General features: G+C 34.5%; 2 long non-coding RNA genes across 6 annotated transcripts in view; one reads left to right on the forward strand and one right to left on the reverse strand.

The window, feature by feature from the left end:
• The window catches only part of LOC105378798 (uncharacterized), a 69237-nt gene extending 66888 nt beyond the window's left edge, over positions 1-2349 (reverse strand). For 4 of the 5 annotated variants that reach the window (NR_188687.1, NR_188686.1, NR_188684.1 and 1 more), the window contains exon 1: positions 530-620. This is a non-coding gene — a long non-coding RNA (uncharacterized LOC105378798). Of the gene's footprint in view, positions 1-529; positions 621-2306 lie in introns of those variants that run through there. The other variant, NR_188688.1, reaches the window with a different exon arrangement.
• Positions 550-19760, forward strand: LINC02796 (long intergenic non-protein coding RNA 2796). Its single transcript, NR_187240.1, has 4 exons — positions 550-742; positions 10934-11206; positions 13935-14019; positions 19332-19760. It is a non-coding gene; the product is annotated as a long intergenic non-protein coding RNA 2796 (long non-coding RNA).
• The last annotated feature ends 2182 nt before the right edge of the window (positions 19761-21942 follow it).

The raw sequence follows: 21942 nt of genomic DNA on the forward strand, positions 1-21942 counted from the left end.
AGTAGATATTTATTTTATCAAATAAAGACTTCAGAAAAGCTATGAAAAATAAGTTTAAAAATAGAAGAAAATCATGCCTAAAGAGTTAATAGTGTAATAACAATGAATCAACAAACACAAAACAAAATAAGGACAGATAAATTATTTGAAGAGGACCAAATGGAAATTATGGAGTTTAAAAAAAATGCAATTGAAATTTAGAAAATTCAGAAGAACTCAGCAGCAGATTTGAGGTGGCAGAATAATTAGTGAGTTTGAAGGTAGATCAATACAAACTATTCAACTGAAGAAAAAAAACACAGAAGATAAATAAATTAAAGAAAAACGAGCAAAGCCTTAGAAATCAGTAAAACACCATAAAGTATATCAATATATGTATAAAGAAAAAATCAAAGGAAGAGAAAGAGACAAAAAATTTGAAAAAAAATAGCTGACAAATTTCCAAATTAATGAAGACATTTCTGTATACTTTTGAATATAAAAAATAGACCCTAAATCCTTGGTAGAATAAATACACAGAGAAACATACCTAGATGTATCAACCTGTTCAAAACAAAGCATCAGGTCTTGAAAGCACCAAGAATAAAACAGTCCATTGCTTATACATTGGATTACCATCTGAAACAATGGAGCACACAAAACAGTGAAATGACATATTCAAAGTTCTAAAAGCAAAACAAACCCACTTTGAAAACAAGGAATTCTCTCTCTAGCAAAACTCTTCTTTAAAAATGAAGGCAAGGTAAGGATACTTAGAAATAAACAAAGGCTAAGATAGTTTGTTCATAGCAGACCTTCCTTTGAATACTAAAATCCATGAGACTAAAAGGAATTGATATTAGATAGTAATTTGAACCCACAGAAATAAATAAAAAAATCTCAGAAGTGTTAAATATATGTCGATTATATTTAACACTATCTCAGAAGTGTTAAATATATTTTGTTGATTAACAAAAGGCAATACATATGTATTTGTTTATTTCTTCTCTTAACTTCTTTAAAATATATGACTGATTAAAGCAATAATTACAATACTATATTATGAGGTGAATAATTAAAGAATGTAAAACCAGAGCAAGGTGAAGACAGGAAATAATAGAGATTAGAGCAGATATCCATGAAATTAAGAAAATACAATATATAAAATTAATGAAACAAAAAAATTGTTCTTGGAATATGTTAACAAAACTCACAAACCTTAGCTAGACTGACTAAGAAGAAAAGATTGACAACACAAATTACCAAAAGGAGAAATAAAGCTAGAGACATCACTACCAACCCTGCACAACTGAAAAGGATAAAGGTGGATATACTTAACAACTTTATGACAATAAATTGGACAACCTAGATAAAATAGACACATTCCTATGAAGGTACCAACTACCAAAATGACTCAACACAAAGCACAAAATCTGTTAGACCCATAAAATAAGTAACAAAATTAAACTTGTAATTAGAAATAGTCCCCTTCAAATAAGCCCAGGTTCAGGTAGTTTCATGTGTAAATTTTATAAAATATTTAAAGAATAAACAATACACAACTGGTCTTCAAAAGTTTTGAAGAGGGGGGACTACTTTCCAACTTATTTTAGGAGGTCAGTATTATTCTGAGACCAAATCTAGACAAAAGACATGACAGAAAATGAAACTAAAGATAAGTACGCATCATAAAAAATACACAAAAATTCTTAACAAGGACTAGGGTGGCACCTCATGCCAGTAATTGCAACACTTTTAAGACAGAGGTGAGAAGATAGCTTGAGGCCGAGAGTTTGAGACCAGCCTAGCCAACATAGAAAGATCCTATTCTACAAAAACATTAAAAAAACAAATCAGGCATGGTGGTGTGTGCCTGTGGTCCCAAATACTTGAGAGGCTGAGGTGGGAGATTTGCTTAAGCCCAGGATGTTGTCTGCAGTTAGCTACAATGGCACCACTGCACTCCAGCCTCTGTGAGAATGTGAGGCCCTGTCTAAAAAAAATACAAACACTAAAAATAAAGAAAAGAAAAATTCTTGATATAATATCAGCAAAATATCAATTAATTGTTAAAAAGATTGTACACTATAACACTGTGATATTTCTCAGGGATGGACGTTTAATTAACTGAAAACTAATTAATGACTTCATCATATTAATATAATAAATCATGTTTGGTAAATGTTTTTCTATAATAAGCCAAATAGTAAATATTTTAGACTTTACAGTCCATGTGACAGCTGTTAGAAATTATTCAGCTATGTTGAGTAAGTAAATGGGCACGTCTGTGTTCCGGTAAATATTTGTTTACAAAAGTATTTACTCACAGGTGGAAGGCAGAACTTGGAACATGATTTGTGTTTGCCAATCCTAGGAGAAAGAAGAAAGGAAAAACAACATAATCATCTCAAAAGAAAAAAATTATCAAAATCCATTATCTTGTCATGATAAAAACTCACAAGAATTTAGGAAGATGAGTGGGGCCCAGTGGCTCAATGGATAACATGTCTGACTACGGATCAGAAGATTCTAGAAGTTAGGAAGAGAAGGGAACGCCATCAACCAGCTAAAACATGAAAAACCCATAGTTAACATCATGGTAAATGGTGAAAGACTGAATGCTTTCCCCTTAAGATCAGGAACAGGACAGTAATGCCTACCCTCACTACCTTTATTCATCAAGGCACTGGTAGTTCTTGCCAGTAAAATAATGTATCCCCTAACCCTTATCCGCCTCAAAAATCAAAAAGCTATCCATATTGGGAGGTAAAACTATCTTTATTCACAATCATATAAACTAACATAAAACTTAGTATGCAAGTTTAAGTTTAAAGTTAAACTTTAAATCACAAGATAGAAAATATTTGAAAGTAAAAGTGTCTATATCACAAAAAAAGAAAGAAGTAGTATCAGAACAACGTGTCCAAATGGTGACTACTTTTTTGCTCACTTTTATCCATGATTGCAGAGGAAGAAAGGGTGTCCTGACAATGAGGCATAAATAGTACAGCCTAGTCAGAAACAACGTAGCTGTAGCTGCTGGGTCAAGTGAACTCCAAAGCTGAAATAGTGTTTTGAAAATATTAGAAGTTCATTCTGTTGATCCTCAAATAAGCAATTACTCAAAATTGAAAGTGAATGCAAAGCTTTGCTCACCGATGTGGAGTAATCGTTTCTCCTTTGCCCCCTAATTTATCTCTTCCCTCTAGTCCAAAGTTAGCCCCTTGAAGAAAAAAGATCAAGGGTTTTGCCAAAATCCCTGTTTCCCCAGTAGGGCTGACAGCCATACACATCCATCTGAATAAGCTGGGGAATTTGGGGGGGGTGAGACACTCAAACATGTATGGCTCTGTTTGATGTAGGCACACACATCCCCATCTTGTGGAGCAGAGGTACCTGAATTCAACTGATAGGATTTGGACAAATTTCGCAGTACAGGAAGAAAGCAAATATGATGTTGTCAGTACAGCCAACTTTCATCCAACTTAATGTAATATTGCTGTGACTTCCACTGCTAAATGAATATTTGGCTTTGGTTTGCATAATTTTACTATGAATGCTCAAAATCCCAGAGGGGATTATCCTGATCTGGAAAGGTTGCATGGAGAATAGTACTAATAATATCAGCACATCACATCCCAAATGAGCTTTGAGATATAGGACTCTGTGATGGATGATTTTGCTGATTGGAACCTATGACAAAGTGAGGCAAATCTGGAAGCACTCATTAATTTCATACTGCTTAAACATGGCTACAAGGTATACACCAACTGAAAAGTACCTATTAGTGTTCTACTTAAGTAGAACTGAAGTAGAAGTAGTAGTTCTACTTCTACTGAAGTAGAACTGAAGGAGAACGCTAATAAAGCAGTAATTATAATACTATATTATATGGCTAATAATTAAAGAAAGCAGAATCCCTAACTTACAGGGGTCTTATGAGTCTGTGACCTGATGTTCTCCATTTAGGGTGGGCCAACTGAAATTCAATGACTAACAAGATGAGACAGGACAAAAATACTTCTCATGTCAAATGGAAGTTCAGGAATAAACAGGCCTCCAGTAGCATGACAGCATTACATGAAAAAGTAATGGTTAGGTCTTTGAGGGACAACGTTAAACCATTCTGCCATCTGAAGCAACAGTGCCATTTCAGTAAAACCAATTCACAGAAGTCTCCTTAAATGTTTGGAGCTGGTTCACTGATGCATTAGCTAAGCTGAAAACTGATTACATGTACTAAGTTACTGTAGCTGTAACTCAGCACTTGCTGTTCAAAACTGAAAAGGTATGTGGTAACTTCACTCAGTGGGTAGAACTCAAGTAATTTTTAATAACTCTGGCTGGTGCTTCTCTTGATGGAGTTTGTTTGTTTTACTTATTCCTGGGATATTTCTTGCAACCTGTTTTGTTTTAAATTTAGAAAACTACAAACTAGCAGATTAAAAACAGGTAAACTATCTGAATGACTCATGCAGTTGCTCATGGTAAGTGTCCATTCCCTGATGAGACTAACTGAAATCAAGCTGCTGATGGAAACTGCAACACCTAGAATGCCACCATTGTTGCCTGGATCCATCATCATACAGAACATGGAAATATCTTCACAATTATAGACTAGGGAAATAGTAAAAGATTCTGTTTCTGATGCAGGGGCAACCATTGCATACCAGATTTGTGAGTCTTGCCAAAGTTGGCTGAGTCCAGCTCACTTAGTATTCCAGGTCCATACACCTTTGTAAGGAAGTTTGCTCATTGAATGTGTATGCCTCCATAAAAAGATCATTTTCTCTTGGCTGATCCATGGGTTATGATAAAATAAAAAGGAGTGGTAAATGGACCTATTTTAAAAATTCAGGATTCTGTCCTGACCATTCCTGAGTATGATGGTTCATTCTTTCTTCTAATGGCAAATCCAGGTTTGCCTGATGGATGCAGTTTTACTGTGGCAGCCCATCCAAGATGTGTCCTAGGAGAGATAAGCTTAATTCTGACTTAGGCTTCTGGAGTTTTTAGTTGGGTTGACATAGTCCTTTGCCATAAGGCTAATAATCACTTAGTTGAGTACACTGCTCACCAAAGTTACCCACATGGAGCAAAGTCAGGAATATAATATATTTCTGTAATTTTATAAAATTGTTTTCCTCTTGTATGTGATCAATTCAAATGTAAATTTTGAGTGTAAGGAAGGGCTGATTGAAAAATATAGTATAGTCATAACTATTATAAAGAGCTGTGCCTAGATTTTGGTAATGGAGGAGAAATAACAACTTAGGAACCTGAGGAGGGAGCATCTCAGATCCCGGAAGCTGTTGGGGTTGGGGGAAGAGACATTTATAATGTTTGCCTTTCAAAACTTCTCTATGAACCTTCCTTATGAAATAAAACACTGTGTAGCTCTCCAAAACTATTGAAAGCATCTTAAATGTAGCTAGGTTTCTGGTCAAGAAAGGGTTAACTTAGAAGGCCTGGATGGCTCAAAACCTTACACATTCCAAAGAAAGGCCTCTGTCCAAGAGGATCCTTTGGCAGGATCCTGAGCGATAACTGCTAAGCCCTTGGAATACTCTGCTTGATAGAAATGCTTTTGTATGCCCTAATCAGTTGAGGTTGTCCTAACATTGTGATTTACAGTGAAGGACTCTTTCTTCTCTGGAGGTGATGAGTATCTGAGGTTAGTTGCACAGCACTGCATGCCTGTGTGACTGATCTCCAATAATATCCCTTTACTGCAGGGCATGGGTTGGCAACACTTCCAACATTAGACAATGTTGTTGGAAGAATTAAGATCATCCTCATGAAACTCTACTGGGAGGGGACATCTGAAAACTTGGCCCTGTTTCCTTTGTACCTTGCACCATGAGCCTTTTCCCATTGCTGATTTTGACTGTTATCTTTTCACTGTAATAAAATAATAACATTGAGTATAACAAGTTTCTTTTCTTTTCTTTTAGTTCTATGAGTCATTATAGTGAATCATTGAACCCAGGGGTGGTCTTGAGGTCCTCTGATATAGTGTACCATCCCCTGCTAGATGCCTCTTACCATGCCCTAATTGCCATTCCCCTGAACATTACTGAAGAGTCAATAGAAAAGATTAGGCGGTGGTCCCAGTTCTTGTACCTTCAGGCAAAACATGCCACAGCTCCTACAGATGTCTTCTTCTCCCACTCCTATAGCTAGTAATTTCAGGAGGCAGAGGAATTACTTGGCTTGTGACATGGAAAAACAGGACAGGTTGTACAGACTGACCTAAGACACTTCATACAAACAAGAAGTTAACTCAATTATCTGAAGTAACTATGATGCCTAAGGACAACCAGCTAGTCAAATGCATCCCCAGACTGATGTAAGTCACACCCGCAGGGACCTCACAATTTTAAACAATACTTTCTTGCCAGAGACACCATGTGTACTCCTCAGATTATACTTCTTATGTGGAAGTCAGGCATTTTCTTGCCAAAACACAGTAACTTTCACTATAGGGGTGGTCATAAGAGACCTTCAAGGGTTTAAGAACACAACAACAATATATCATGTAATCCTGGATGACTGTGGAGATCTCCTAGAGGCATAATAGACTCAACATTTTTGCAGGCCCTGTGGTCATATTTTTTTTCAAATGAATAAAAAGATGGTACAAAATGTGTTCCTGATTTTCACTGAAGTGAATAATGACACCACTTGAGCCATGGAAATAATTCACGCCTGACTCTACTCACTGAACAAGGGTTGTTAGGGATAATAGAATTGCCCTGGATTTCCTCCTTGTAAGCCAAAGCGGAGTCACACATTCATTAACATATCCTGTTACATGTGAATTAACTCCTTAGACCAAGAGGTAATTTCAATATAGAGAGACAGCCACCTGGCATTTGCAAGTAGACCTTGCTGGATTATGAGATTTGATTAGCGGGCTTATGCTGGGTCCCTAGGCCATGGCTGAGATCAATGCTGCAGATTAACCTCATCTTGCTGATTATAGTCCTATTTGTTTTAAACTTAGTTACTGTATGAGAAAAAATGAATAGTTATGGTCCCAGCTTTTGTTGGTCAGATTAGAGTGGTCAACAGATTGATATAATCATGGAAAACTTCATCAAAAGTCAAATGAGTGTTGAAACTAAGGATGGATATTATTAAGAGACAATTTTCCATGTTTGTTTTTATCTTTTTGGTGCATCTAGCAAGTTAGGCACTAATTGCTCTTTGTTAAGGACTATCTTTCCAATGTTGTTTGTAAGTATAACAGCTTTGGAAGATGAAGATAGTGTTGTTTCCCAGTGGAGTGAAAGAAAAACATGCTTGTTGACCATTATGAAGATTCTGGTTCCCTAAGCCCAGGGCTGCCTGAGAGCCTGTGCAGCAGGTATCCATCTGTGCCCATCCATGTCATTCAGGTGGGGTGAGAGGAAGTCAAGCAAATATGCCAGTGTGTATCCCGCCTTTTGTGCAGTGAGTGATACAGGCCTTTGTCTCTCACCTAGGAGTCTTGTGTCTTCTACTAGCATCTATGAAAATATGACAGACTAATTTGTTAGCTTGTAAGTAAGATAAAATATCAGACCGTTCACAGTAACAACACACAGAGTAGGAGTAATTCTGCTTGGGATCATTTAAAATATACCCTCCATGGCTATCATAAAAAATCATGTTTGAACAGCTCCTGGGAAGTTGTTTTGTCAAATTCAAAAGAACATAGGCTTTGGAATCAGAAGGATCAGAAAAGAAAATACAAGCTCACTATTTGAACATTATAATAATATCTATAATGTAAATATATTATGATGAATAAATGTAATTGTATTAATAATAAAGCTATTATTTAGCACCTGGCCTAATAAAATAAATTGATGATTTTTTAATATTTCTTAAAGAGTTGGAAACTAAATTGAGAGGCACATAAAGAAAATGAACACAAATAAAAACATAATATAGAATACATGTAAAAGTCACATACTTATTTAAGAAATAAATTGAAAATAAACCAAAAGTAAAAACAGAAAAAAGCTATAATTACATCACATAGAACAAATAATTGTTAATATTTTAATGTATTATATTTTTAATATAATTTTTAAAGGAAGGTTTTAGAAAATACAGTGTTTTGCATCCTAAAGTAGAAGCAGCTTGATATTGGTTCTGGTGAATTTATTTTAAAGAAAGAAAATATGTTAATATCACAATTCAGAAAGCTTGGCTGTTGAATTTTTGTTAAATCTACTGGTTAAGAACATAAATGGAACATCCATAGAGACTTTTCTTTAGCCCAACCATCTGGACACTTGCTGTATTTTGATTAAAAACAAAAAACCCATTTGACTAAAACTTATAATATACTTAAATTCCAGGCTTCTATAGAAAGAAAACCAGAGATAAAATAACATGTAAAAACTGTGAAAAAAGTCATTGTTGCATCAAAAAATTCTATTAATTATAGTAATTATCTATGATTGGAACTCTTAAAACATCTGCAGTGAAACAAGTGGCTATGCTTCAACATGCTCATTTCATATTTCAATCACTTAAATATAGCTATTGTTAAGGAATTAGTTGGAAGTCATTAAGAAAGTAATTGCAAAAAACCAGTTCTGCCATATGACAAAGACAAAATTGAAGAACTAATAACAGAAAATGTGCCCAAACATTATGATCTCCATCATTAAATATAAATTAGTATAAAAATGAGGAACATCCAGTTGACAATTAACTTCAATTGTATTTCTTTATTTACATATTAAGATCATTAATTCTATTAGCTAATTAAAGTCTGCAATAATGTAATTGTAATGAATCCTCATTCAGCAAAGACGAAAACTATCTATTCAATGAACATTGTGTCAGGTAACTTCTATATGTCTAGCAGTGAGGTTGTCATCATAGGTATGGAGGAAATGTGGTAATACTTCCAATTCTAATGATTTATTTGAATCACTGTAAGTTTGAAATTGGAAATACCTTCAAAACTGAGGATACATATTGAAAATATCAAAGGTATATCACATGATTTTTTTCTGTGTGATACTATAAAATTATAATAAAAAACAACTTACAATATGCAATTTAAAATATATTATTAAATTGAAAGGATGAACAAATAATATGTGCATCATCTCAATGGATAAAATAAAGAATGTTAAATATATTAAATGAGAAGAGCATTACACATGGGTTGTGGGGCTGTAGGTAAATCTATTATTTGTGCATTTCCAATTTCTAAAATTGTAGCAATGTACAACTATTTATTTTGTAATCTAAGGTACTTTTTTTTTAAATTTATGTTTGTTTTTTTGAAACGGGATCTAGCTCTGTCACCAGCCTGGAGTGCAGTGGTGCGATCTCAGCTCACTGCAACCTCTGCCTCCCTGGTTCAAGCAATTCTCCTGTCTCAGCCTCCTGAGTAGCTGGGACTATAGGTGCACACCACCACACCTGGCTAATTTTTGTATTTTTAGTAGAGAAGGGGTTTAACTATGGTGGCCGGTGGCCAGGATTGTCTCGATCTCTTGACATTGTGATCCGTCTGCCTCAGCCTCCCAAAGTGCTGGGATTACAGGCTGAGGTACTTATTCTTAAAAGAACAAAAAGTCTTGTATCCCATTTTCTCATGTTTGTATTATATTGAATAAAGTAATATAATTAATGCTAATATACAAGTATAATCAAAGCAAAGACTCAAATCAGATGACATGGCTTTTGGTCTGGGTCATCCATTAATGATCTGTTTGATCCTGAGCATAAGGTTTTGGGCCTGTTTTCCTCCAGTTGTATTTTGATTGATTTTGACTCTACCAGCTCTATAATCTTTTTCATCTCTAAGAAAATAATTATTATTGTTAAATTATCTAGGAGTCATAATGCCAGGCTACTCCTAAAGCATATCTTTGGGGAAGAATGAAGCAATCTAAATTGGGGAGGTGCCATCTTCTATAAATGAGGCAAATGGGTTAAGACCAGGGATACTTCAACTTACTGATAGACTTGCTTCTAGAGATCTGTGTATACATTGAATTGTTCCAAATGTTTACCCATGTAATGTTAAAAATGTTTTCTCCGTATTTCACATTGATTTTCAATTGGATATGGCTCTCAGACTTTTAGCAGTAAGTTTTAGACACTTTATATTTCCATTCAGTTATATTAAATGGTGACTAAATCTGTGAATAAACAATTCAGAATAATGACACCCTTCACCATTTCAGTGAGGTCTATTAACAGTGATTTGCTTTGGTAAATAGAAAAATATTAGTAAAATATTCGTCGCAGTAGTTATTTGTTTAATGGCTAATATAAAATGGAGTTTACTGCTTTGATAAGATAAAAATTAGAATTTTTGTCTATAAACACCTACTTTTGGAAGATATTTAGTATTTTAAATTATTAGGACTCTGAAGTATGTTTTTCTTGATTGAATAATTCATTTATTCATTGAGGAAATATTTTATTGAAAAGCTACCATGTGCCAAGAACTATTCCAGATGCCAAAGACACTAATAGTGAAAAAAAAAATGCTATCAACACTACACGCACAGAAAATCAGTGCCTTGATAAAGCTTATATTTAAATGATTCATGAAGAAGAAAATATATGTAAAATGTGCAGCATATTTTTAATTATAATTTCAAAGGAAATACATAGCAGAAAAGAGAAAAAAGGAATTAAGGTACAGTTATGAATAGAGTGGTATCAAAGAAAGACTCACTGAGAAAGTGACCTATCTAGGTGGTGGAAGGTACAAATAAAAAGGCTGAAAGTCAGATGCGTCTCCAAAAGGTTCTGACAATAACAAATTGGACTCTATGGCTGTTGAGCAGTGCAAGGGATAAGGGAGAGTAGCAGGAGATGGGGTCAGAAAGGGAACAGGGCAGATTGGGTGATGAGAGATCCGAGGGGTAAGGAAGCATTGAGCTTTAGGAGCAACTGCGAGTCTTAAGGAGACCTTGATTTCATTCAGTGATATGGGAAACCACAGCAAATTTTGATCAGAAGAGTAATATCAACTAACTCCACTTGGACCGCATGGAAACGAGGAAGGAGAATACTACAGCAACCTGGAAGCCAGTGAAAAATGATGGCAACACTATCTAAGATGGTAAAAAATTGACGAAGAAAAGCTCATTTCGAACTGTTGAGGAGAGAAATGTATTTGCAGAGAGAGCATGAAAAATCATGAACCACTCCATGGGTTTTGCCTTGTGCAAGTGGAAGCAAGGGAAGAAGATAAAGAGTAAGTTACAGATTTTTTTTTTCTTTAAACCAACACTTTTAAACACAACTGTAAAATGAATAAAAATACGTAACTTCTCCTGCCATACCTCATGCATCATGTTGGGACAAGCAGTCAAAGTTCCTGAATCAATAATCATTTTGATTATACTGTTCCAGAGAAACAATGTACAAAAACATATTCCAGTGCAATTTCTATGTAATCTGTTCCCCCTGTCCCATCAAGTGTGACAGTGTATTATTATGTATTGACAGAAAACATCAATATGGATGATGTTAGACAGTGGGAGGAACGCATTTTTGTGTGCTAGTTTTGTCTTTATAATAACAGCATTGATCTGTATTTCAGCTAACCGGTTTTCAGCAACTCACAGCTAATTTGCCCATATCTACATTGGTATGAGCAATAATATGGTGAATGTCAGATGGGATCTGCAATTCATAGGAACAGCTCTGCAGCCTAATGATTTTTGTCAAATGTGAATTAATTATTAATCTGATTTGCCCTTCTTTGTTCAGAGCTCTGCAAATGTTAGTAAATCAGGGTCTGCTCAAACTTTTAGTAGAATTGAGGCGATAATAAGCAGGTACTTTTTGATTTGCTTACTTTCCTCTTGCCTGATGAATAAAATATTCCTGTACTTTTAAGGCCTTGGGATTACCATTTGCTCAATTTTAAAATTACTTACTCAAAATGAATTGTTTGTTTAGTGAGTTTTATATTTTATACTCCTTTTTGTTAGAAACTTTCAGCATTCTTCTTTAAATAATACGAAAGTTTTCATCCTATTCTCAGGTTAACAAATCATGGTAGTGCTGAAGAACAAAGAAGGCTTGGAAATTGAATTAAATCAATTAATAGTTATAAACACACTATTTTTAAAGAGCATCACATTCCTTATCTATGTTATTAAATTTTAAAATATCTGCTGACAAAGACTGTCTCCCCTTGATCTAACTTTTTTTAAAAAAATTGTTTTTAGAGACTGAGTCTCGCTCTATTGCCCAGGCTAGAGTGCAGTGGTGCGATCATAGTTCACTGTAACCTCAAACTCCTGGGCTCAAGCAATCTTCTCACCTCAGTGTCCTGAGTAACTAGGACTATGGGTGTGTGCCACCATGCCCAGCTAATTTTTACGCTTTTTGTAGACCGGGATCTCAAACTCAAGTCCTCCTCAAGGGATTCTCCCACCTTGGCCTCCCAAAGTGCTGGGATTATAGGCATGAGCACAGCCTTTGACCTAACTTTATCTTCTCTGAACCCTCTGTTGGACTAGGCCTGACCTTGGTCTTTCATTATTGTCCTTGTAGAATTCAGTTTGAGCAAGAATCCTGCTTAGTCAAGTTAGAAAAAAAAAATTCCCCTTTCTTTGTATTTGACCACCTTCTATACCTGATCAAATTCCTTATCCTCTAGACTCAATATCTTCTCACCCTGGCTTCCCTTCAGCAAGAATTCTGTTCAGTTGGCCTAGCAAGAATCTCCCTTACCTCTGATATTTTCTCTTAGTAAATATTCATCCTGTGACCGCCCCCACCCCCCAAACCTGCTCCTTAGCTGTAAATCCCCACTTGTTCTTGTTGGAGTTAAAATTGATCCCAATCTCTCTCCTCTACCTAGAGACTCTATTGCAGTGGTCCCCATATCTACTGAGATAAAAGTCCTCTGTATCCTCTTTAATAAGTGTCATAAATATTTGTTTTTCTTTAACATTACTTCACAGGCTTATAATGAGCATTTAACAAGATAACATATATAGAATTCCCAGCAGAGGACCTGGCCTTAGTTTCTGCCAACTGTTTTGTCAGTGTGCCTGTTAGGCTGGAATGGGAGGCAGACTGTGTGCCCTTTAAATCAAATCATTTCCCTTCAGAGATGACAGAGAGCATGCTGCCTATTTACACACAGTATGTTCACTATTTTGATCTATTCAGCTAGGGATTTAGTCAAATTACTAACTGAATTGGTGAAAAATAAGCACATTTTATTAATTTTTATATGAATGATTTCATTAAATCATTATTACACTGGTCACCTGATCCATTCATTGACAGATAAAGCCTATAAGGAAAGCTCTACTTTCAAATAATTTGCATTCCCCAGTTAAAAGTTGATAAATTTTATATCCTTCTGGGTAAGGGTGCTTTTTTTTTAATATAATATGAAAGCAGCTATAAGTACAGAAGGCTGAGTGGGCCATGTAAAATTTTATTTTAGCTGAAGTATGAACTGGGCTTTCAGACGTTGTACAAAACAGCCTGACTTCTCAGTTCATACACATGAGTGTGACAAGCAGAAAATTAGACACCTGGCAGCTACAAGTGTTTTGGTTTTATGTTTTTAGATACATGGCCAAGATTACTTTTGTGACTGCCAAATTACTACCTTAATTTAAAAGCAGAGAAACACATCAGATTTTTACCACCTAGAAAATCATGTTAAATCTTTGTTTGAAAATGTCTTCATTAGCAGAGAGAAAGAAAAAAAAAATATTTCCTACCAGACTTAACTTCCATCCATGGTGTAGGGTTCAGACCTTGAGAAATGTCTGACAACACTGCTGAAAACTATGCTTGAAATGTTGATTTCACTGCTAGAAGCCATTTAGGGCAAAGAATGTAACTGAGTGGCTTAGGGGTTGATGCAGTTATTTGCTTACCTAATAGTGATAAGTACAAGTCAAACTTCTGTATTTTTGATATTTTCTTATTTTCCATTTTACTTACAGGATGTTTTTATGGGGCTTCTCTACTTAACACAATCCTGAGATTTAACACAGGATGGAAAAGAAGGCATTATAAAATTTCAGTAAGGTAGATTGAAACTAAAAGTTACACTTAACTCTGACATCCACTTTGAACAAAACATAGAAAGAACAGTGCATTTAAACTAAATAAAATCCAAGAGGCAAATATGGTACTTACTGTGGCAAACATGGTTTTACTGTGAGGTAGTTAGTAATAATTTAATGATAGGATATCTGAATATAAAGAAAAAAAACTGGTGACAAGAGTGTGAGAAATGTATCTTACTGCTTGATAACAATATACATCTCAAAAAAAAGGGGTGGCTTAGTGCCCAGTTTCTGAAAGAAGGTCTTTTTTGTCCTTTTTATTGCACTTTTCAAGTTTATTTAAGCTAGCCAATTGTGACTTAAATTTGGTTAAGCAAAGACAAATATGCTTGACAAGTCATTAGAGCTCTTGTGTGCTTTCTTATTTGTCCATATAGCTGTTCCCTGCCCATCTACTTGCCTACACAGTGTTATGATGTCAGTTCATTAAGTTGGCTATAATAAAATACCATAGACTAAGTGGCTTACAAACAACAGAAATCCATTTCTGACAGTTCTAGGGGCTGAGAAGTCCAAGATCAAGGCACTGACAGATGTGGTATCTGGTGAGGGATTGTTTCCTAATTCCTAGAAGGCAATCTTTTTGCTGCATCCTCACAGCCTGTGGAAAGGACTGGCAACTCTCTGAGATCTCTTTTATAAGAGCATTAACCCCATTCATGAGGGCTGTACCCTTATGACCTAATTACCTCCCAACAGGCCCCATTTCCTAATACCATTGCCTTGTGAGTCTTGGCAGGAGGGAGGTGGCCTTCAGTAAATTGTAATATCTGTTGCTCAGCATTGGCTATATCTTGGTTAGATTAACAGTGAAGAAGATCAGAAAAAAAAGATGGGGTCCAAATGGCAGCTACTGGCCATTTGTGCTCAAAGACCAATTATCTTAGAAGGGCTACTCAAAAATAAGCCCCTTGTGAGGCTCTTGGTGCTTAAGTTTTTCAGAATTGGCTATAAATGGTCTCTCTACGGGGGAAGAACTGAGCCTGGAAATCGGACCAGTTTTTGGAAAATAAGCAAAATGGAGAAGGGAAACTGAGGTGAAGTCTAATAGAAACTTTTTCTGCCAACATGTAGGAAGGAACTATGGAGGACTAATAAGTGAACCAGGAATATTAATGAGGAGATTTAGATTTAGTAAAAAATTAAAAATAAAGCAGAAGGATTATTTCACCACGAGTCTGCTGCTCCAAAACGTAACAGGAAGAAGGAAGACTATTAGTACCAAATTATGTAGGATAGCCATTACCTCTATAGCAAACATTTTTTTTTCCTTTTGGTCATCAAAAAATTAAACTAAGAATAAAGATTCTCTCAACATAAAAAAGTCTTTCTTCTAGAATAATTGATATAAAACCAATACATGAACTATCCAAGGTGATATTGGGTGACCACTAGAATTTGACGAAAGATTCCAGTATTTCAAATTCTAAATTATCGTTTTCTTTTTTCTACAGGACTGAAAATTTTCATTTGCTTATGACCTTAAATGTATATGGAAGTTTCCTTTTGAAAGTCTTATTTATGGCTTGCATGCTTATTTAAACAATGAGCTTTTTAAAAATCATTAGGTCAATTTATTTTTCTTTCTTTTAATTTTTCTTACATTTCCCCTATTTCCCCTTTACACATGGCTAATCCCTGAAAACTTCTGATATAGTAAAAAGTATCCTATTGGTTTATTTTACTAATCTCTCTTACTTTTTTACAGGACTGTGACCTCTAGAGAGCAGAGGCTGTATCTTTTTCATTTGCATATTCTGAGCATCTATTACAATGCTTCATACATATATAGTGTCTCACTACATATTAATATTTATTGTTCAATAAATGAATCCATGAACTCATTTTATGTGAAACTATGGAAAGTAGGACAATCTCTCCTACAAGAAATATTGGGAAGTAGATTATTCCAGTCATCTGTTTCTATTTAACAATTTATACAGCGCTTAGTGGCTTAAAGCAACAACTGCATTTCTGTTGGTCAGGAATTTACACAGAACTCAGCTGGGTGATTCTTATGATCCAGTTAGTGATATTCATCTGATAACTGGGCTGGGCTAAACTGGGCTGCTTCCATCTCCATGTAGACTCAAGCCCTCCCCAGTGGGCTAGTTGGAGTTTTTATAGGATGGTTCAGGGATCCTAGAAACCACAGCAAAGGCTACCAGTCTCTTTGAATTTTAGGTCTAGATCTGTATAGCTTTACTTTAGCCATATTCCATTGATCAAAATAGTCATAAGTCAACCCAGATTCAAGGCAAGGAAAAATAGACTGTATCACAAGGGGCTGAGTATAAAGAATTTGTGACCATTTTCAATCTGCAATATATGAAGGAAAAAAAGAATAAACAAGCTATATATTTAACCTCATTCGCTGTGCCTGCATCAGGTCTATACCCAAAAAAAACTTGAAGAGAAAAAATACTTTTCAGAAAGGCAACATATTTGTTCATATTTCTTAAGCAATTTTTAGCAGAGATTTCCCTGGCCTTGACTACTTTACTTGTTTAAGTTCTTTCAATGTCTAAGTTATTTTGATGTATTCTTTTCACTATCTCTGTCATTTATATTTTTTCATTTTTATTCTGACTGCTATCAGCCCCCAAAACCTGACCAGGTCCTTAGTTGTACATGTACTGTATCAATTCCTTTCTAAATAGGAGCCAGGAAGACGGCAGGCAAGGCTCCTAGAATCCTCCTCCACTGACCCATTGTCCCTTGTCCATGCCACTTCCAGATTTCCTTTCTCTAAACTAATTATTGTTTTATCATATCCCTGCTCATAAAACTATCAAATTCAATGCAGGAATTCCTCAGAGATATTGCAGATCTGGATCCACATCACTACTGTAAAATGAATATCACAATAAAATGAGTCAGAAATTTTGTGATTTCCTAGTGCATATAAAAGTTATGTTTACACTATATTATAGTTTATTGTGTGCAATAGTATGTCTAAAAAACAATGTACATAACTCAATTAAAATGTGCTTTATTGCTAAACATTGTTAACAATCATCTGAGCATTAGTGTCACACTTCTCCCATGAATGAAGTCTCTTGTCTGTATAATGTTCCTCAAATGTGCTTTGCATTCTCCTAGATCGCTTCTTTGGCTGATGTCATTCCTATGGTCTAGAGTTCCATCCCTCTGGCTCTATCTATGGTACCACAGTTATCTTTTGGGCTCTTGCTAAAAGGCCACTGTTTTTATGAAATTGTAGCTCTCATGATTAAAAATTATTTCTTCCAAGAATTTCTAATGGCTTTCACTGTATTTTTATTTTTATTTTTTTTATTTTTTTGAGATAGAGTCTCGCTCTATCACCCAGGCTGGAGTACAGTGGCGCCATCTCGACTCACTGCAAACTCTGCCTCCCAGGTTCACGCCATTCTCCTGCCTCAGCCTCCTGAGTAGCTGGGAGTACAGGTGCCCGCCACCAGCCCAGCTAATTTTTTGTATTTTTAGCAGACACGGGGTTTCACTGTGTTAGCCAGGATGGTCTCAATCTCCTGATCTCGTGATCCGCCTGCCTGAGCCTCCCAAAGTGCTGGGAATACAAGCGTGAGCCACCGCGCCCGGCCTTCACTGTACTTTTTAATGCAGTTCTTATATAATAAACCCTGCTATATTAATATTTACAAAGCAATTGATCTTTGTAAAAATAATATATTCCTAATGAGTGGAAAGTCTGATTTGCACATTGTAAAATCTTAATAGATGTTGGAATGAATAAATGAAATAGTGAATCAAATAATAGTAGAATGTTTTTATAATAATTTCTTTATTAAAAATACATACTATACAGTGGCAAAGTAATTTTTGGAGAAAAGCTGGGAGAAGGCTCAGCAGAGATTCAGATATATGATTAGGAAAATCACTACCTGTGTTCTCTAAACAAGAAGGGAAGAGTTTCTTACTGAAGAAAACTTAATAAAAATACTCCTTAGACATTAAAATTCCCAATGTAAAAAAAAGTTGAATCATATTTGAGTCAAATATGATCAGATGCTGAATCAAATTCAAGTATATTTGTGGATTTTAGATGGGCTTGCCAAAATGTCCTTATGCATAGTTATCAATATTTTTAAATATAGCTAATTGTAAAAGTCAAGAAAATGAATATGCAGTTTTAGTTTGCTTTGTGAATTTGAATATTTTGAGCATGAGCAATGCTATTTTTGGATTTGCAAATATAATTGACAATGCACAATTTTTATTAAAGCTGATGTCCAAAACACTTTGTTTGATTTTACTGAATATTTGTTTTCCAAAATGAGAATTGGCTGAGTTTATTAAAGCAATGCAATTTTTGCACTTTGAGAAATAGACCTTTAACTTACTATAAGATATCCCTGAACAAATGATACTAAATGCAACTAGAGAAGTAGCCCAAAACATTGACCTGAATTGTGTTGAAGTTTCACAAAAGGTTTAATTTGAATTGATTTTCATTTCCAGTAACATAATTTAGTAGTTCACCTGTGATTAACTAAAGCATATTATTGATTGCTTTGACTTAAGAAAGTCCTGAATTTGGAGTTTTACATGGCTAGAATAGATATGAGCAACCTTGAGATATTGTTAAAACTGTTTTAAAGTCTTTAACATTTATAAGAATGTCTTACTTTGCACTAATATAACTCATGTTCAGTCTGTAATTGGTTCAAATGATTTTAGTCCCCTATTTTATGTCTCTTTAGGAAGTCCCCCAGTATCTCAAAGGCAGTATACATAATTATATGGAAATTTCAATGGTTTTTTTCCAGAACTGTGGAACAATTCAGCAGTCTCTATAAAATGAATATCCATAGGCAGCCTGGTAGCCATATGAAACTTGTCAAAATTTGGTCAACATATAATTTTCTGCACTCTCCTTTAAAAATTTTATGTTTTTGAAAATGTCTTTTTTTTCCTTTGAAGCACTCAAAACTTGCAACTCCACATCTCCTATTTTATCTCTATTCATTAGTTTATAAATGTTCTAATTCAATATCCTATCTAAAATATTGTTGAAGGGTCAGGTTGAAATATATTTAAGGAATAAAAATAAGAATAGTTATGATAATAACAACATTAACACCAATTACAATAAGTACTGTATTCAGTAGAACATTGTTCAATAGAACATTGACTATCCTTTGGGTTAGTCGTGATCTTGTTATATATATTATTTCACTCCGTATTGATGGTCATCACATGGGAAGTTGAGTGTAGTTTTTATGTTTCCTTGTCTTTTGTTTCTTGTTTGTTTGTTTGTTGTTGTTGTAGATGGGATCTTGCCATGTTGTTCAGGCTGGCCTTGAATTACTGGACTCGAGTGATCCTCCAACCTCGGCCTCCTGAGTACATATTCCCTGGTCTATAGATGAAGAAATGAAGGTTCAAGAATACTGGACATCTGGACTAATTAAATGACAACTAAATGGCAGAAATGGTATTTAAGCTCAGGCCTAGCAGATGCAAAGTCATGGGCACATGTCAAGTATGTAATATTGTATAGCCTATTAACTCATCAATTTAGTCTTTAGAAGGCTGAATTTCTAATATGTATCAGGAATAACATAAAAGGTTGAGAGGAAAACCATAAAAAGACAAGATCCATATGCAAGTTTAATTAATTCAATAGAATTTTAATTATTTGCCATGTACTAGTAGTTGTGTGAGACACTACTGACAAATAAAAAGATAAGTTAAAAACATGTAAAATTAAATAACATGCTATACTAGGGGACTATAAAAGGACAGAGGAGAAAAGGAAGATAGACTTAAAGTTGGGGTGGTCATTGAGTTGAATTTTAAAGGAAACAGGAAGCTTTTTCCCATTTTGGAAGTTTTGGGAGGGGTTCCAAATGGATGTGATAGCACATGCAAAGATACAGAGATGAGAAAGTATGCACATAAGCTCTTCATGTTTCTTAATACAAAGCTTGAGATGAAGCAGGGGAACTGGACAGGACTGCATATAAGAGAAAGTTTTGTCTGCCCAAACACACAATGCTATTATATTCCTCAGTCTTGGCTCCGATAGTCCTGTTTTACTGGGCTGTCTGTCAAATCCTCTCTTGTCCAAACTGTAAAATTTCATCTATCAGAGGCTGAAGAGTCTAAAAGATAAGATTATACATTATAGACCCCTTTTAGCATTGGGTTCAAATGTCAGTGTTGCCACTAACAAGTTGCACAATCTGGGACAGGTTTATTTTCTTTTTTTCACTTTGTCCATTTATCATATAAGGTAGCTTTTGCATTAACATAATTAATAAATATTATTATTACAGTTTCTTAAAACTTCAGGTCCTATATGAAGTTTTTTTTACTATTCCTGATAATTATTTGCTTACTTCTTTTTGCCTTCCCTTCAGTATATATGTAGTAGATACTAAAAAAATGTAATTGTATACAAAATGGAGGTGTGGTTTATGGTATGAAAAGCTAGTATTTAGAGACTGAATATTTTTTTCTCAAACAATTGAAATCAATATATATAATCTAGTTCATCCCCTTACTGGCTTAGAAATAGTACAGCATATATTATATACCTAATGTATTTAATTATACACACACATGAATACAATGAAAAAGTTAACAGCATTATCTTTGAACTTCTGCAATACAGCTAAAGAATTGTAAACTGGGTAGTTCTTTCACTTCTTTTCACAAAAAAGTTTATACTCATAAAATTATTTTCATAAAATATATAAAACATAACACTTATTGCATGAAATGCTTTCCCGTAGAAGTATTTTTCATATTCTAATGTAAGAAAGCATTATCCTTCAATGAACAATTGCAAAATTATACAGAGAAAACAATTCTGAACTGGTCAAAATCTCATTAAAATTGTATGAGGAGAATTATGTATGCCCCATTTACAATTTTTCTTTATAGCAGAATATCAAGTAATCCATGATTTGAGAGCACACTTTAGTTTTATCCTAGACCTACTTGACCTTGTAAGTGTTTCTTGATTTTAAAGGATGACATTTAATTAAAACTGCCTTGCTGAAGTACGGTAATTATTGGTGCAGATAAAAGAGATTTACAGAAACTCAAGTCAGTGGATTGGTAAGAGCAACACAGATTTTTCTTAACATCAGGATGTATCATTTGCAAAATGTGATATACTATCTAGCTTTGTATCATTTAAAAACACATCAAGTTTGCTGGTTGAATTAGCACACATGATTGTGGAAGAGGCATTTCAATTAAGCCCAAAGTCAAACAAACTTGAAGAATTTTCTACCTTTATTTGCAATGCTGTGCATAAAATTATTCAAGCATTTCATTGAAGAATGAGAACTCATGGAGTATGAAATCGGACCAAAATCTCTCCCTTTATTAGATGATATCTTTCCTTCATAGTTTGCTGCTCATCAGCAAATGACATTTGGTAATATGTATGAATAATTGGTGAATTTACTGCTCATTACCTCTTTAAAAATCCAAGGAAGTATTAAACATACTTTGATTCTTTTATGAGAAAATAATTTTCGTTAAAAGGTTAAAACAAAATAAGTGATTTTTATTTTTAATTAGATAGCTCAGCTACAGAGTCCTTGCAATACCAAAATACTTATGATTACTTTTTCAATTGTATTTGTGCAGACTATAAAAAAAACTCAAAAAATCATATATTCCTCTCACACAACAATGATCTTAAAACTCTTTCAAATAATACTTCAGTAGCTAGAGTTCTGTTAAATATTATTTTTTTTATTTTCCCAGAAAATTATGAGTTATTCTTTACTTCTATATTCATAATTAAATATGTTATGCAAAAATTATGCATGCATATTAATTCTACATGTTTCACGTGTGAAATCTAAGATGATATTACTATTTTTCAGGTTGATATTCTCCTAAGATCACATAAAAATTA

Source organism: Homo sapiens, chromosome 1 (genome assembly GCF_000001405.40).
Source record: "Homo sapiens chromosome 1, GRCh38.p14 Primary Assembly".
NCBI lineage: Eukaryota > Metazoa > Chordata > Mammalia > Primates > Hominidae > Homo > Homo sapiens.